This window comes from Homo sapiens, chromosome 19 (assembly GCF_000001405.40).
Source record: "Homo sapiens chromosome 19, GRCh38.p14 Primary Assembly".
In the NCBI taxonomy this organism is placed as follows: Eukaryota; Metazoa; Chordata; class Mammalia; order Primates; family Hominidae; genus Homo; species Homo sapiens.
Genome location: NC_000019.10, coordinates 28,879,213 through 28,897,543, shown reverse-complemented (window position 1 = coordinate 28,897,543; position 18,331 = coordinate 28,879,213). Strand labels below are relative to the sequence as shown.

General features: G+C 46.7%; 3 annotated features.

The window, feature by feature from the left end:
• Positions 13,727 to 14,476: an enhancer, noted in NCBI's record as "H3K27ac-H3K4me1 hESC enhancer chr19:29373975-29374724 (GRCh37/hg19 assembly coordinates)". NCBI's record gives its function as "activates a minimal SCP1, AML or CMV promoter by ChIP-STARR-seq in naive H9 embryonic stem cells {active_cell/tissue: H9 hESC(naive)}" and the evidence as "EXISTENCE:reporter gene assay evidence [ECO:0000049][PMID:30033119]".
• Positions 15,227 to 15,976: an enhancer, noted in NCBI's record as "NANOG-H3K27ac hESC enhancer chr19:29372475-29373224 (GRCh37/hg19 assembly coordinates)". NCBI's record gives its function as "activates a minimal SCP1, AML or CMV promoter by ChIP-STARR-seq in primed H9 embryonic stem cells {active_cell/tissue: H9 hESC(primed)}" and the evidence as "EXISTENCE:reporter gene assay evidence [ECO:0000049][PMID:30033119]".
• Positions 15,977 to 16,728: an enhancer, noted in NCBI's record as "OCT4-NANOG-H3K27ac hESC enhancer chr19:29371723-29372474 (GRCh37/hg19 assembly coordinates)". NCBI's record gives its function as "activates a minimal SCP1, AML or CMV promoter by ChIP-STARR-seq in primed H9 embryonic stem cells {active_cell/tissue: H9 hESC(primed)}" and the evidence as "EXISTENCE:reporter gene assay evidence [ECO:0000049][PMID:30033119]".

The following is an 18,331-nucleotide window of genomic DNA, read 5'->3' as shown; positions in this document are numbered from 1 at the left end:
AGGCATCGTCTTGGAAGTGGAGAGTGGGCCCTCACCAGACACCAAACCTGTTGGCATTTTGATCTTAGATTTTCCAGCCTCCAGAACTGTAAGAAATATATTTCCATTATTTATAAACCACCTGGTCTCAGGTATTCTGTTATTGCAGCACAGAACAGGAGGCTAAGACACACGTGGAAACTCTGAGGCTGAGCAGAGGGTGGCACATGGAGGCCCTGAGAGCAGGCTCAGCCCATGGGTTTGGAAAGAGCCATGTGATGGGGAGGCTGAGGAAGGGCGGGTGCAGTGCACGTGGGGCCTCAGAGGCTGAGAAGCGGATGCTCCAGTTCATTCCAGAGACAAAGTGAAGCTTCTGAAGGGTCTGAAACGGGGGCAGGGGGCATGATCAGAGTTATGGCTTAGGAAGGTATAGCTGACTGTGACATGGGGAAACAAAGTAAGAGGCAATGGAAAGAAAGCTTTCACTTCTGGCTTACTATTGACCCTACTGGTAGCTGAGAGTGGGTGAGGTTATCCTCCAGTTTCTGGGTAGTCTTCATCCAACTGGGCAATTTTGTGATCACCCTGGCACTGTGACTGCCTCTCAGCTGGGAAGCATTTGTTGGTCCCATCCATGGTGGGTAGAAGCTGGGGCAGCATCACCCAGGCACAATATGCACGTCACTTGGCCCATGTGTGGTCCTCTTTGACATATACAGAGCCCTAAGGGAAAAGCCAAACTCTGTTTTGCCTCCTTGGGTCCTAAGTCCATCACAGACTTTTTTTTCCACTACTTTCTGCAGAGCTGGGTCCGGTGAAATATGATGCTGCCATTTTATGTGGGCTTGGGAACTTGGTGAGAAGAACAACCTACTCCAACCCTGTATGAACCCCCATTGTGGTGAAGGCAGGATCTAAGAAGTAGAAATATTGAAAAGGAACACTGACATTCTATAGTGGGCCAAGGAGCAAGACACTTTGACTCATTTAAAATTATTTATTTAATATAAATATAGCAGAGGAGAGAGTTACAAGGACCCTAGGAACAGGGAATAAAACTATTTTAAATTAAATGTGTAACCCCAGAATGCAAGTGACTTTTACTGTCTTCAAGGTACAATCCTTCTTGTCATCTTGATATTCTAATCTTGGTTCCATTATATGCGTTTTCACAATGTCAGATAGAGAATGCCTAACACTAAGATATTTAAATCAGATCAGCCTGACCTGAGATACACATTTTACGTCAAGTTGCCATAAACCGGCAGATCCAATTTCTAAGATGTAGCATGTTTGATCATTGCAAGTGTGGGGAGGGGTCTCCTCAGGGTCCCTGGCCTTGCTTGGTTACTGTCAACTCCAAAGTGCATTTATTTCAGTGAAGCACCACACCTCAGCCCATGACCTTTCCTGGAAATGGATATAGATGAACTCACAAGGCTAAATTAAAAGTTCAAATTGTGTTTGAATGTTTACCACTTTTCTTCTCACGAGTTAAGGTTTGTTTTTAAAGATGTGGATGCTTCCTCCAGCTCCCACCAAACTCCTTAAAAAAGCAGCTCTGGGAACATGGCACACCCCAAGTCAGATGTCACCTGCTATGGTGCAGTCAGGCTGGAGAGGCCCTACTCAGGACCGGGCTCCTATTGCTGCCAGGGAAAGCCCTGTCCGCTCCTGCACTCTGGCATGGGGAGATGTGTGCATTTCAGGAGTTGCACAAATATTTCCTCATTTGCCATTCAGGTCACATAGCATCCAACACCAAGATAAATGGAAAAAATATGTCTATGAAATACTTCATTAAGAAAAGCTCATCATCTCATTCCATGACACCAAAAGGGTAATCATAATAAATGATTTATAATGGGGGATCTGAAATATTTAGATAAAACGTTGCTTTGGTGGTGTTTCTACATCAGCTCACTTTTATAACTACTCAGACTTGAGATACCCGCTGACCTCAAGGTGTAATAACTGGAGGCCAAACTTCTTCTTGCTCAAAAAGCTGGAAGCAGCATCTCTTCATTAATTTCAAGCTCCACCTAGGCCCATTCTGCTGAGCCAAAGACTCATCTGTAATGAGAGAGGATGGAGAAGGGGGTAAAGGATATGTCTACAAGGCCTGGGCCACCTTCTCCCCTCACTCTGCTAAAAAATAGGGACGTTTCCACTCAGAATAATAAAGAGCATCTGAGCATCACGGCTGCCCATCAATGGAATTAATTGCATTAGAAGCCAGTTAAATACATCACGGAAGACAGGCAATAGCTGCCTACAAAGTCCCTCTTCACTCAGAGATTATGTGATTATTTAATTCTTTCTAAGTATTTTTGAGCACAACACACTTATCAGTCCTGGAAAAAGATAAAAGTAAACAATGATTGAGGACTCGTTATACAGTAAGCACTATAATAGGTACAGGCAGGGGAAACAGTTACAGAGAACAGACACCTCCAGGTTTCAAGAGGATGGCAACTGACTGGGAGATTTTCCTTTCCTCTGGATAAGAAGGTAATTGGGTCGGGTGCAGTGGCTCACGCCTGTAATCCCAACACTTTGGGAGGCCGAGGTGGGTGGATCACCTGAGGTCAGGAGTTTGAGACCAGCCTGGCCAGCATGGCAAAACCCCATCTCTACTAAAAATACAAAAAATTAGCCAAGTGTGATGGCGTGCGCCTGTACTCCCAGCTACTCGGGAGGCTGAGGAAGGAGAATCACTTGAACCTAGGAGGTGGAGGTTTCAGTGAGCCAAGATTGTGCCACTGTACTCCAGCCTGGGCAACAGAGTGAGACTCCATCAAAAACAAAACAAAACAAACAAACTATATATATATATATATATATATATATATATATATATATATATATATATATAATCAAAGTGTTTAATCATATGGGAAACTCCATTGGAAAAGCAGATTCCACAAAGAAAGGAATTTCCTGGCTTTGGTGGATGTGGCAGGAAAAAAAAAAGAAGGTAATTGGCACCAAGTTTCCACTTGACGTCTAGGACTCTTCACTTTCTGCACCTCCACCCCACTTCTCCTGTTTCATGTATCACCAGGAGCACATGCAGGTTTGGTCCAAGGAGAGGCCCAGGCCTCAGTCTCAGCCTCCAGCAGTTAATGGAGTTTGCAGGGAGCAGGAGAAAGGAACCAGGCTGAGCTCAGTCAGCAGGAAGCGGCATCATCCATTCAAAGTAACAAAACTAACTTGCGGTGGGGCCAAGCATCTGACCAATCAGCAGAGCTAGCCAATTTTTCCACCTCTGTTCCCTAGTTGTCTTGCTGGCCTTTGGCTGGATCCCAGACTCCAGAAGACTCCCTGTGAGCTAACCTGCTGCTGACAACTGTGCTAAATCCTAGATGACTCTGGCAATCTGGCCACAGCCATAAATTCATATCACCTATAATATCCAGGCCTAGATCCATATCTTTCTTTCCTGTTCATTTATTTGCTGACTGGTTTTTAAGGAGCTGACACTCAATATTTGAAACATGCAAATGGCATGTGTTCATGTGTGGAGTCCAAACAGAAAGAGGCTTTAGAGATTTCAGGGCCAATGGGATTCCTAATGCACATCAGTCTCGTGCTCTGTGCAACTGGATTATAATCAGAGGATTTTGATAAAGGCAAAATTGGAGATGAGATTGAGATATGATTTTAAACATCTTGCTTGCTGGCAAAGTCCCCAGCCACACCACTTGCCAATTTGCACGTCCAAACTTACTAATGATCAAAGGAACACAACTCCAAATAATCAGGGCTGATTTTATGTTCAGAAACTCTCATACCTTAACCATGGGATGGTTAATTGGTTCAATTAGCAGAAAAAGTAAGCTAAAGTGGCCAGTGCTTTAGATCAAGTCCACTGGGCTATGAAGGGCAGATATTAAAACTAGTAATTAGTTAATATTTATTGAGTGCCTACTATATGCCAGGCACTCTTCCATGTATTTATAAGTATTATTTAATCATCACATCATTCGTATGAGGAAAGCACTCCTGTCATCCCATGTTATAGAAGAAGAAGCTGAAACACACAGATGTCCCAATAACTTATAAGTCAGAAAGCTGGGGAGCGAAGGAACTAGAATTTAACACTGAGCAGTGTGACTCCCTAGCTCAGGTTCACACATATGAATCCACATGTGTGTGAAGCACCACATTCTGACATTCGTTTTCTCAAATTCTAAATGAATTACTCGTTGTAATAAGTAACTTAAAGGGCCAGTCATTTCACACCGGCTGTTTTGCTGCCATCTTCCCCAGGCCCTGCTCTAGCCCTGTCCGTCACCTCGTCTACGATAGCTGCTGTCTTCCTGAGTGGGGCAGGATATCAGGCCTACAGCTGCCATAGGCATCAGTGGAAACCCCTAAAACTCCAGCCAGCATACAGGATATTATAAAACCATGCTTGTGTGCACCAACCACGCTGCAACACTGCCTGGAGAACTAGGGCAGACTTGAGTTTCAACAGGACTCTTCGATTGATTTCTGGGTAACTTTGGTCAAATTGCTTCATCTTTCTAAGCTTCATATTCCTCCTCTGAAAAACAAAGCTCTTCAAATCAGGTTTTGTTGTGATAATACTGTGTAACAAACCTCTCCCAAATTTCTGTGGCTGAAATCACATTCATTTAGATTTCATTCATGGATAAGCTACTGCTCATCAGCTGCTGCTCGGCCGGCTGGGCTCCAGAGTGACACTAGGGCTTAAGTGTGTCCCATATGTCTCTTCATTCTGGGCCCAGTGACTCGCGGGGCATGCTCTCGTCATGGCTGAGGGCAGGAGGGAAAGAGGATGGGCAGAAACTCCACACACACGTTTAAAGCTTCTGGCACGTGTCTGTTCATGTCACATTGGCCAAGGAAGTCATATGGTCATGGTCAAAGGCAGGAGGGTGGGACTGCGAACTGCTCTCAATGAACCAAAACTAGGAAAGGAAGGGAAGGAGGAATTATGAAGAAATATTACCAACCAACACAGAAAAGTGGACTAATATTATTTTGGTATTTTTACCTCCACAACAGAAAAAAAAAAAAAAAAAGCAAAAAGAGGCATGGCCATAGTAACCTATCCAAGAATTTCAGCTTTGTTTTGGAAACCCTCTGCCTTCAGGAAAGCAGAAGCATTTTATACTGTATGTGGTGGGGCTGGTGTCTTACTTTGTATCAGAACAACTTGTAATACGTTCATTATTTGATGCAGTCATTTTTAGGAGCCTCCAGGAGTGCATTTTAAAGAAATAATCAGAAGCATAAAAGTATTTATGTGTAAAGGTGCCCATCAAGGCATTTTTTGTAATAGCAAAAAATAAGAACAACAATACGTCCATAAATAGAATATTTAAAATCCATACAAGGGAAGATTATGGAGTTAATTTTTAAATGGTATTTTTCTAAGAATATCTATGGAGGCAGAAAAATGCACCTAATACAATGCTAAGTACATAAATCAGAATGTAAAAAACATGCAATAGAATCTCACTTTTGTAAAGCATATTGCTCTGTATCACTGAGAAGTGATTGGATGGAGTTTAAAAATGTTATCACTGGCTAGCTACAGATTATGGACAGATGATGCAGCCTGGGTATTTAATTTTTCCTACCTGTTTTTTTTCTATACTTTCCAAATTTCCCACAGGAAAAAAAATAGAATGCTTTTAGGCCGGGTACAGTGGCTCACGCCTATAATCCCAGCACTTTGGGAGCCCAAGGCAGGCAGATCACTTAAAGTCAGTAGTTCGAGACTAGCCTGGCCAACATGGTAAAGCCCATCCCTACTTACTAAAAAATACAAAAATAATAAAATAAAATAAAATAGAAGAATGTTTTTAAACTGCTAAGCTGGTCCATAAGATGCTTCAACTGTGGAGGTTCCCAACCAAACCCAGCTAAGAGTTTGGACCACGTGCCCTGGAACTGAGAATTCCCAGAAAGCATGAGTGCTGCCACAGCTCACTTATCTCCACCCTCTAATGACAAACAATCGATGCAAATGGCATGCGTGCCCACTGCTGAATCCACAGTTCTATCAGGAAGACACCACGAGCTATTAGCAATACTGACGGTCTAAAGGCTGTTCAGTGTTGAACAGGATATTTCATTTCATTTGATTATTTTCTAGACCTTGAACATTGCATTTGGACAGGAATCCAGTTACCTTGTTTGTCAAGGGCTTTGGGAAATGGAGTGGAGGCATCTGATGATGGAGAACCAGGGTTCCCCATTTGGGTACTCATTTATTAGGCAAAGTAATTCTTTTGGGACCTGGATGACCTAGAAGCAGGAATCTGACTTATGACATCGAGAGGACAGTCAGCACTGAATGGCCTTTAGATGCCAGGTTCGATGGATTCCCTCAGAAAGGTCAGGAAACCGGGCACAGTTCCTAGAGCCTCAGATCCTATCTGAGCTCTTTCTAGGGGCAAAGGTGCCCCCTCCTCTACTCTCCAGCAGCCACTGGGCCAATGCTCTTTGCCCAGAATTTGACCCACCTATAGGCACTTCCAGTTAAACATCAGGCAGGTACTTTCTGGGCAAGATTTCCATGAACATTCCCCTACCGTTAACTTGCTTGCAACCAAAATTGGGTGATTCGTCCCAGTGCCAGACCCATGTGCACACTCAGGACAGATTTTCTTTACAATCTCAAATTGATCTGAACTAATCTGTTCAGGTCCCTCTTTCTGGTCAAAGACCTCGTGTGCCAGGTTTCTTCTGCTTGGAGCACATTTTTACTTTCAAGTTATAAACCCTGAAAAATGGGTTTCATAATGGGAAGGCTGACAGAGTCTCAGCCATTGAGACTCAAGCAGCCATCAGCCTTACTCTGCCAAAGATATTTATTATTATTTCCTCAAATAGCCACTATTTAATACCTGTCACTTTTTTTCCTTACAAGGATGAGGGCTGTGTAGTCTCGGTTGCAAGCTCTCTTGGTTGTCGTGATGACTTGTTCCGGGGAGGCAGGTGCTTAGAGACAGATCCTTGCAGCGGGGAGCTCTGCGCTGAACTCCCCAGTGGAGGGAACAGTCACAGCCACTGCATTAAGCCTCCGTTGCAATGCAGGGTGTGGAACCGCTCTGCTCTCTGACAACGCCTACAAAAGCTCGGTGGAGCAGAACTTTCCAATGTGGTCATCTCCTGGAGGGCAAGGCTGAAGGCCTGAATCCCCATGGCATCTCCACACGCTTCTTTGCACATTTGCTGCCTGGCGCTGTTTTCAGCTGTTGGCATGGATAAAGCTGCAGGGCTGGCTCCTGAAATGTGGTTGGAGATGTCTTCCTCCCGTGAGAGGCATCTACAGAGACTGCCTGGAACAACCTTTGAAAACTCATTGTTTAAAATGTATTAACTCAAATCCTTTCCAAGTCTTCTCTGCCAAAACCCAGCACAGAGAACCACTTCTTCTCTTCCTTCACATGCCCTGACATCATTACTCCAGGGCCTCTCCATCCTGCCTCACCCCAAATGCCCCTCAAGAGATGGGTCTTTGTAAAGCCAAGGGTTTCACCCAGGAAGCCTAGAGGGCCGGGGCAGCTGCTGCTGCCTTTCCTTCTGCACAGCCTGAGACTGCCCTCTTCCGTGCTCCCTGCCCCTGCTCACAGGACACCTGCATTCCACATCTTGTGTCCTCCATCCCTGGGGGACTCAGCCTCTGAATCCTGCCTTCTGTAGCTCCCTTCCTTTGTGCAAGGCCAGCATTCCATCCAGAGCCAGACTGGGCCCCAGCCTGCAAGCAGACATGGAAATCCCTTCTGCCGAGCCAGATGCCAGACACACGGGAGCTCAGCCGGCCTTCTCAACAGGACTCTATCTTAGAAAACACTAATAAGACCTATTACAGATATTAAGCAGTTATTGAAGAGGGGTCTCTGTGTGCTCTGCTGGAAAAACTCATTTGGAACATCATTGATTTGCGAGGAGAGCTGCTTGCCCTGTGGGTGGGTTTGGGTGAGTCCCCTTAGATTCCAGTGGCAGTGATTGGAGATCCCAGAAACAGGTCGCCTGTCCCTGCCTAACTCTGATCCAGGGAGTCCCCTTGGAAGACAAGACAGACGTGGAGCACACCAGCCACACACTGCAGCACCCCTGAGCCACTACCAGGAAAGAGAGGCCTCATGAGTCCATCAGAGTTTCCTGAAAGCCTGCGAAGGCACCCATAGTCTCCTAATCGAATCTTCCCCTGGCTCCTGGCTGGCACCAGACAGAGCGCCCTTGCCATGGAGGAGTCTCTGAGTGATGCCCCGGGGCGCAGGGACAGCATGAGGCAGGAGGTGTCTGTGATGCCCTGGCTCCCCGATCCCAGGGCAAAGGCTCGGCCCTCTAGACTCCATGGGTAGCAGGGACCCAGGGCTTCTGCTGCTTCTCCTGGGCATCCCCCAGACACTGACCAGGGCTGATGGGAAAACCAGGAGCACCTCCGACCTGCTCACCTCAGAGTCCCCCTCGCCGGGCCTGGAGGCCTGGCCACTCAGGTGAGCACCGTGCAGCCTCTTTCCATCAGATTCCCATTTCACCAGCCGTTCGCGGCTGGGGAGCAGCTGCTGCACCTCTGACTTTTCCACCCATCTGCAGCCGGAGCTGGAGCCCAGCCTGATTTTCAGTTGGCCACATTTGTCTCTGATCTCTGAGCCCCACTTCCAACCCATGTCTCTAATTCCCGCCGTGCATCCCAGACAGAATCTGATGCCCAGTAGAGCTGAGTGTGAGCTCCAATAGGGCCCTAGATGCTGACCCCAAGGTGATGGCAGTATCTACGTACCCGGCATGGAGACAGTGGCTGCCAGCCCGCATGCCCCTGAGGCTGCAGGTCCCACACCCACAGCGGGGCGTCGCACGATCCTTGTGCCCACCGCCTCCCATTTCTCTATGCAGCTTTTACCTGATTTGGGTCACGGATACAAAACACACAGGAATTCATCAGTCAGCGGGTGTGAGGGAGACGGGGGTCTTGCGTGAGCTGGGACTCTGTGCCCAGTGTCCTGAAGGAGCCAGGGGTCCTATGTGAGCTGGGACTCTGCCCAGTGTCCTGAGGGAGCCAGGGGTCCTGTGTGAGCCGGGACTCTGCCCAGTGTCCTGAGGGAGCCAGGGGTCCTGTGTGAGCCGGGACTCTGCCCAGGGTCCTGAGGGAGCAGGCGGGTCCTGTGTGAGCCGGGACTCTGCCCAGGGTCCTGAGGGAGCAGGGGCGTCGTGTGTGAGCCGGAACTCTGCCCAGGGTCCTGAGGGAGCCAGGGGTCCTGTGTGAGGGTCCTAAGGGAGCCAGGGTTCCTCTGCGAGCCGGACTTTGCCCAGGGTCCTGAGGGAGCCTTGGGGTTCTGTGTGAGCTGGAACTCAGTTCCTATCAGGCAAAAGCTCACAGCTGGCCAAAGAGAAAATTGAATTTTCAATTTTTAATTCATAGGTAAAATCCATTAGAGGAACACAATTTGTTTTCAGAAGTTGTGTAATTTCTGTGTGCAGTACAGTCATTGACTTGCTATTTCCCCACCTTGACAAGTGTGAGCCTTCGAGTCAATTAAAATACAAAATTCACTGCATTTCACATTGTATTCTAGCGGCCTTTTCTCCAAGGCACTTTACGTAGCACATTTCAAAGCCCTTTTGAAGCAATTTTCCACCCTCTTCACAGAAAAGGTGCCTATCATGTTTTTAAATGAGCAAGGAGCACTGTTATAGGAGTCAGATCACCACTTGTAGCCTGATAGCTTCAGCATCTCAGATCTCAGGGCCTCGGTTTTCCCATCAGTAAAATGGGGTTGTTCTCATGAATTAGTATTATAGAAACTACTATTTAAATTACATTAAGTGGCTCACACCTGTAATCCCAGCACTTTGGGAGGCCGAGGCGGGTGGATCACTTGAGACCAGGAGTTCGAGACCAGCCTGGCCAATATGGCAAAAGCTCATCTCTATTTAAATACAAAAAATTGGCTCGGCATAGTGGTGCGCACCTGTAATCCCAGCTACTTGGGAGGCTGAGCACAAGAATCACTTGAACCCAGGAAGCAGAGGTTGCAGTGAGCCGAGATCGCGCCATTACACTCCAGCCTAGGTGACAGAGTGAGACTTTGTCTCAAAGATAAATAAATAAATAAACAAATAAATAAGTAAATTACTTGGAATGAACTTTGAAGGTGACCAGGGATATGAGAATACAGTAGAATTCCCCTTAACCCTACACCCTACGTCCACCTCTAGATATTCAGATATTAATTTATGTTCAAGTGAATATTTGACATTTGTATTTAAATTTTTGATACTTTAATGTTTAAGTACTTGCACGAGCCAAAAGGAAATGTTGCTGAGTGTAGCTACTAGACCAAGACAGCAGAGAGAAGTGTAGTGTGGGTGGAATTAGACCAGCTTGCCTTGTCTAAATACATTGAAATCCATCTTCTTTTTCTAATGCTGTAAAAGAAAAACCGAATCTCAGGACCTGAAACTCACCATGCCAAAGGGAAGGTAAAGCTTGGGAACCCAGTCATGCAAAAACTGCCATCCTTTTGTTCCCAGATAGCTGTCATTTCACATGCTTGCTTATGTAAAATGTAGATTTACCGGGCATCAGACAAAAGCATCATTAACTGCCCACCCCCTACCCTTTGCCTTCCTTTTCGCATGTGAAATGAATGTTCACTGAGCACAGATCCGGGCTTTTCAAGAAGGTAACACTGCCCTCATTGCCTACCTTCCTTCCTTTTTTTTCATTTCCTCTTCCCCTCCCACTTGATCTTTCCCCTTTAAATACTGAAGCTCCTGGAACCCTCTTTAGAAAAAACACAGGCCACAGATCCTGCTGGGACTTCTGTTTCTTCTGCCTGGGTGCACCCTCAGCCTGGCCAGGGAAACTTTGAATCAATCGAGACTTGCCACTTTGGGGTCACTTTGCAATGCCGTGGGACTGGACCCAACAGGGGCCTCTGCTTTGTGACTGCGCCTGCACAATGATTGTAGGGTGTCCCTGCTACTGCCTTTATCTTGCTTACTTTTAGGGTTTGTTTGTTTGTTTTTATTTTAGACCCTGAAAACGCCCTATTACCATTGGCAGGTGAAGGTTAGATATTTGGATCTTTAAAGGTGAGAAGCTTGATTTCGATCCAGGAAGGCTGAGAAAGTAGAAAAACATCCAGACGTGCCATGTAGCCCAAATGTCAGAAATATTTTTGAATCCAGAACTAAGGTGCATCAGAGACTTTTCTTCCTGTTGACCTTTACAAAAAGGGGGCTTTTGGGGATCCAGGCAAATCTGAATGAATGTGTCTTCTTTGGAGGTGAGCTGGAGAAGCCCACACGGTGTCTTACCTCTTTGAAGATAATCACATTTTCCAGTTAACATGACCTTGCTTTGCTGTTTTCTTTTCCACTAACCCTTGAACTCACAGGAAACACACCCACAGTGGGGAGAGCCCCAGGTCAATGTTGCAGACGCCTCGCAGGCACTACCCATGGATTAGGTGGCCTCTCACTTGGCCCCACTGTCCTGTTCTTCCACTTCTACAAGAGCAGTGGCAAAGGTCTTGTTCTTATATGTTTTTTTAAAATCCACCTTCCCTTGGGATCAATGTTGAAGTGTGTTACCAAATCGTGTTGTTTTTTCAACTGTGCCCCACTTCACCTCCCTCTCAGGGTCTTTGCCTGGCCTCCTCCTGGTTGCTGTGGTTCAAGAGGGACGTGGATGTGCCGACAGAAGCAAATGGCAGTGGAGAAGGGCTCAAGGTTCAGGTATCACCAGGAGCCCACTATCTGCCTCCCCGCATGACAGCCCCATTCTCCCAGGATGACTCCGGCCAGAACAGGAGGATATTTATTGATAGCACAGAGACTGTATATTTCACCATCAACTCCATTCAAAAAATCCCCGGGTGATTCCATGATTGTCCCAAATGGCTCCAGTGCTCACGTGTGGATCAGCCATTGTGTCCAGGAGTAGGTAGTAAGAAAGCCTAAAGGGTGGGACCCTATGAATTAGGGGACATTCTCCTGGAGGCGCTGCTGAAAGGAGCATTTCCCAAGGGTTGGACAGACCAAGAATTAATGTCTACTTGGCTGGCCTCCAGCCATGCTCCCCTGCACCAGTCCAAGAGAGGTAAAAACTGTGGGGTTGGAGAAGGTCAAAATGGACCAGTTATTCTCCAGCAGAAACCAGGAGCACTGCCTACACAACGCCACCTATTCCTGAGGGCACAAATGGCAGGTGCGTAACAGGAGCACAGCCCACACAACACCATCTATCACTCAGGGCATGAGCGGCGGGTGTGCAAGAGGAGGGTTGCGATGTCCCTGGAGAGATTGGATAGCAAGAGCAGCTAAGCCTCTGATGGGGCTCTGGACAGGCAGCATGTCCCCTATGAGAGGTCACATTGTCACAAAGGAGAAAGGATCCCTCGACTGACGAAGCGCATGTGCAAAAACCACAGGGCCAGCTCGCAGGAGAGCTGAGATTGAGCTACTAGATTAGAGGGTGCTTGATGTGTTTGGATATTTGTCCTTTCCAAATCTCATGTTGAAATTTGATCCCAGTGTTGGAGGTGGGGCCTGGTGGGAGGTGTTTGTGTCATAGGGGTGGATCCTTCATGAATGGCGTGGTGCCCTCCCTGCAGCAATGAGTTCATGTAAGAGCTGGTGGTTTAAAAGAGCCTGGCGCAAGGTTGCGTGGAAAAGGGAATTCCTGTACACTGTTGGTGGGAGGGTGACCTAACTCAGCCATTGTGGAAAGCAGTGTGACAATTCCTCAAAGAACTTAAACAGAATTACCATTTGACCCAGAAATCCCATTACTGGGTAATTCCCAAAGGAAAATAAATCACTCTACCATAAAGACAAATGCACACATATGTTCACTGCAGCACTATTCACAACAGCAAAGACATGGAATCAACCCAGGTGCCCATCAACAGTAGACTGAATAAAGAAAATGTGGTACATATGCACCATAGAATATTATGCAGCCATAAAAAATGAGATCATGTCTTTTGCAGGAACATGGATGGAGCTGGAGGCCTTTATCCAATGTGAATTAATGCAGAAATAGAAAACCAAGTCCCGCATGTTCTTCTTTATAAATGGGAGCTAAATGATAAGAACCAATGGGCACAAAGAGGGGAACAACAGACACCGAGGCCTGCTTGAGGGTGGAAGGTGGGAGGAGAGAGAGGATCAGGAAAAATGTCTACAGAGTACTATGCCCATTATCTGAAATAATCTGTACATCGAACCTCCATGACACACAGTTTACCTATATAACTAACTTGCACATGTGCCCTTGATCCTAAAATAAAAGTTAAAAATAATCACACAAAAAATACAATAAATAATAAAATAAAAGAGCCAGGCACCTCTCTTGCTCCCTGTTTCGCTCTGTGAGATGCCGGCTTTACTTCCCTTCTGCCATGAGTAAAAGCTTCCTGAGGCCTCCCCAGAAGCAGATGAGGGCACCACGCTTACTGTACACCCTGCAGAACCATGGCCAATTATACATTTTTTTGATAAATTGCCCAGTCTCAGATATTTCTTTATGGCAACACAAAACAGACTCATGTGGCATCCCACGAGGTTTTGCAGAAAAGAGAAGGAAAGAGAGGAGGGCTGGAAATTGACAGGTTGTCCCAGGCAAAGGGGTGGGCAAAGAGATACATTCATAGGGGAAGGTGAGCGAATGAGCTGATTAGTGGGGTTGGAGAAAGGGGTGCTTCAGGCAGTGATAGGCAGACAGGATGCTGTCATCTTAGAATATGCGTGCACACACACGCAAACACACACACTTACCCCTCCGGTAGCATGCAAGCTGGCGTCACCCTGGCTTAACAGTAGATCCCAGGAGCACAGAAGCTGCCTTCACCCCAAGGAGCACAGCTTCTCACCTCCGTGCTCTTTCATTGCAATTCCCTGCCTTCCAGCAAGTGTCCGATGCCTGCTTAACATTATGCGAGGCAGGCTGTCAGTGAGAGAGGCTCAAGCCTGCTGCAGGGACTGCCTCTCAGGAAAGAGAAAACAAAGCCAGAGCCTTAAAAATAGAGCTGTCCACTGATGGAATTCTCTCCTGCTGCCATGACCAAATATTTGGTCACAAGGGAAGCGGCTGATCAGACACACTCCCAGCAAGGTCACGAGGTGCTCAGAGAACACACACTGAGGCAGGCTGCTGGCACGGCTCCCCTCGCCCCTGGACCCTCGAGGTCCCCAAAAGAGAGGGAGGGAGGGCCGCTCCAGTGCCAATCTGTAACCACAAAGCATGCCTTTGCTCTTATGATGCTGGAGACCAGCCTAGCCCTGAAGTCAGCTGCTTGCACAGACAACATTCATTCATTCAGACACAAATGAGATCAGTTCTTATCCAAATCACAGGTCAATAGGATTTGGGAAGCTGCAGAGTCCTAGAGATTACATTATTTTAAAGACTGCAGAGTTCAATACAGCGAGATTCAAAACAGAGGGAGGATTTTGTTGTCATACAGATGTCCACCCCTCCCCACACCGCACCGTGACGCCTGCCTGCTCCAGTTCTCCTGGTGTGTGGCTTCCCACTGTTCACTTCCCAGGCAGCTTGTCTGGATCTCTTGCAAGAGCAGGGCCTGGAGCCTGGTGACCTTAGCTGCCGCAGGGCCCAGCACACAGTCGGGGCTCCATGAAACCCCAGGAGGAAGGGATGGAGAGGGAAGGAGGCCATGTGTCCCAAAGGGGAACCCTGGGGGAGTGGTCCTTTCCTATCTGCCACTGGTGCCTGGAAAAGAGAGAGTAGAAAATCCCAGCCCCAGCTGGCACATTGCTCTGAGCCCAGGGCCTGTCCCTCCAGGAAGACAGTGCGGCCACCATTGGCCCACGGGCACTGCCTCAGCTGAGGCCCCTTCTAGCTCTCTGTCTTCTTCTTTGGAAGCCCCCGCGGACCCTGCCTCACACTGTTCTGGGCGCGTCTGTTCCCTGTGGGTATTTGCCTTCTGAGGTTGCAGCCACAGGGGCAGGGCAGCAGAACAGCAGGATCCCACCCACATGTATTGAACTGAGCTGATTTGTCACTTTGTAAAAAGCTTGTTTCAGGTAGGCATGGTGTTGGGCCTGTGGTCCCAGCTACTTGGGAGGCTGAGGCAGGAGGATCACTTGAGTCCAAGAAATGGAGGCTGTGGTGAGTCATGATTGCACCACTGCACTCCAGTCTGGGCCACAGAGTGGGACTCTTGTCTTTAAAAGAAAAAAAGATGTAAAAGCCTAGTGCATTGATAGGTTAGGTAGCCCCCAAATTCGTTTCTTGAGACAGAGTCTCGCTCTGTCACCCAGGCTGGAGTGCAGTGGCGTGATCTTGGTTCATTGCCACCTCCACCTGCTGGGTTCAACCGATTCTTCTGCCTCAGCCTCCTGAGTAGCTGGGATTACAGGTGCTTACTACCATGTCCAGCTAATTTTTGTATTTTTAGTAGAGATGAGGTTTTACCATGTTGGCCAGGCTGGTCTCGAACTCCTGACCTCAGGTGACCCGGCCACCTTGGCCTTCCAAAGTGCTGGGATTACAGGCATAAGCCACTAAGCCCAGCCCCAAATTCTGTTTTAAACACAAGCTAGAGTCAATGTCCACACTGGAAGTCATTTTCAAGGGGGAGATCAGAAAGCAGCCGGGGAAGTGGCTACTTTGAAGCAAAGTGACTGACATTTTAGAGCAATTAATAACTGTGTTTCCCCAGAGACAAGCCGCGGGTGCGGGGAGCGGAAGTCGCTCCTCTCATTGTTCCTCCTGTGCTTGGGCAGTGGGCTGGAACCCTCTGGGCAGCTTCTCAACTCAGCATGTCTTGCTGATCTATTAAGTTGAACATTAATCATTAGTAGAGCTCATCTTCTTTCCCTGAATTTAATTTCATTAGTTATACTTTCTTTCCCTATTAGAACAGTCTCTGACGCATTTGCTTAGAAGGCAAATGGGCACCGGCCCTGTCCCCCACCTCTCCTGGATGGAGACTTTCCTGTAATGGCACCGACAATTGTCAACATGTCCAGGTCAGGCTGGTTGATCTGGATACAATCAGAACTCAAATCTTTTCTTATGAACTCTCAGGAACTCTCTCTAAGAAAATCAGGGCCACTGTGGTTTTGTTACTGGAAAGGGGTTTCAATCCAGACCCCAAGAGAGGGCTCTTGGATCTTGCACAAGAAAAAAATGGGGGCAAGTCCACAGAGTAAAGCAAAAGCCAGTTTATTAAGAAAGTATAGGAATAAAGCAAGGGCTACTTCGTAGACACAGCAGGGCGCTCCCAAAGGCAAGAGGAGGAACGCATCCATCTTAGCTGAAATGCTTGATTATATATAGAATAACAAAGCAAAAGCTGTGGGGGATGTGCTCCACTACCAGGGCTGTGTCAAAGGAGTGCTAATCTTTGTGTAACTACCATCTTCACAAGAATCTGCATCTTTAAAGCGAAACTTATTCTTAAACTAAGAATGCTTTTGTTCTTAAGATATCGGGACATTAGGACATTTCCTGGGTCGGTTAAGTCTTGGGTCTGTTTGGTCAACATGAATTCAACTATTCCTTTAACCATAAACCTCATGTGGCTAAGAATGCCTGACCTCCCGGGAACAGGCCAGCGGATCTCAGTTTCCATTTTTATCCAGCCCCTATTCAAGATGGAGTCACTCTGGTTCAAACATCTCTGACAGTTTTAAACCAAAAAATAGGATACCCAATCTCTGGGTTCCGTTGTCTTTAAAAATATATGCAAAAAACACATCAGGAAACTGCAGGCAATGGGGTCCCAGGATTGCCACTTTAGACCTGGACAGGCGCTAGGGCAGGACAGGGGCCTGTGCCACTGGAGATTAGAAGTGGGAGTTTGACAGGAGGGAGCCCCAGGAGAAAGTCATTTCTTCATCCATCTGCTTGTCCATCCATGATTTAATGCTATTCTTCCAGGCTGTACATCATGTGTGGTGAGGGTTCAAGGATGTCCAAGGCAAGTGTTCTGGCCTCCTTGTCTTCCTTGCTCCCTCCCTTGAAGAAATATTTGAGTGTCTTATCTACGCCCTAGCACTGTGCCCAGTGCTAAGTATCCAGTGATAAGGTTAAAACAACAAACTTACAACCAGTATGGAGAACAGTTTGGAGGTTCCTCAAAAAGCTAAAAATAGAGCTACCATGTGATCCAGCAATCCCACTGCTGGGCATAGACCCCAAAGAAAGAAAATCAGGCTATTGATGAGATCTCTGCACTCCTATTTTTATTGCAGCACTGTTCACAATAGCCCAGACTTGGAAACAACCTGTCCACCAACAGATGAATGGATAAAAAACATGTGGTCCATGTACACAATGGAGTGCTTACTACTCAGCCATTAAAAAGAATGAGATTCTGTCATTTGCAACCACATGGATGGAACTGGAGGTCATTATGTTGAGTGAAATAAGCCAGGCACAGAAAGATAAACTTTGCCTGCTCTCACTTATTTGTTGGGGCTAAAAATGTAAAACAATTGAATTCACAGAGATAGAGAGCAGAAGGATGGTTACAGGGGCTGGGAAGGGTTGGGGGAGGGGAGAGTGTGCATGGTTAATGGGTATAAAAACATAGAAGGAATAAAATCTAGTATTTGATAGCACAACAGGGTGACTACAGTTAACAATCATTTATTGTACATTTCAAAATAACTAAGAGTATTTTGCTTATAACACAATGAAAGGTAAATGCTTGAGGTGATGGACACCCCACTTACCCTGATGGGATTATTATACACCGCATGCTTGTATATATGTGTGTGTATGTATGTATATGTATATATATATGTATATATATATGTATGTATGTATATGTATATGTGTGTATGTGTGTGTGTATATATATATATATATATATATATATATATATATATATGTATTTTTTTAAAACAGCCAAGTTCTTGTTTCCAGAAGGCAGCCCAGCTAAGGTGGAAACCAATAGAAGCACAGTGCACCTAGATCCACACTCTGCTGAGAGCTTCAGTGAAAGAGAACTGAGTGCCTGAGAAAGGCAACTAGGATTGGGATAATAATCAAATCCAGTTTGAGAAAAGAGAAGGGCGCTCCACACAGGTGGGAGAGAGGGAGTGCGTGGATGGAGCCGACCGTCTTACAGTCTTGGAGGAATTAAGGTATCACAGAGGTAGGGTCCAGCCACTTCAGTCCTTCCTAGAAATTTAATATATTTAATATGACTATAGCTCAAAAGCCCACCAGGGGGCGATGCAGGACAACTTATTGCTTAGCGCTAGCAGGGCTACATCCATGATTTGTGTAATTCACAATGAGTGCCTTAAAACTCTGGGTGGGGTGAAAAACTCCTGAAAATTGGAGGCCCAGGGCAGTCCGATGATAATCCTAAATAACAGC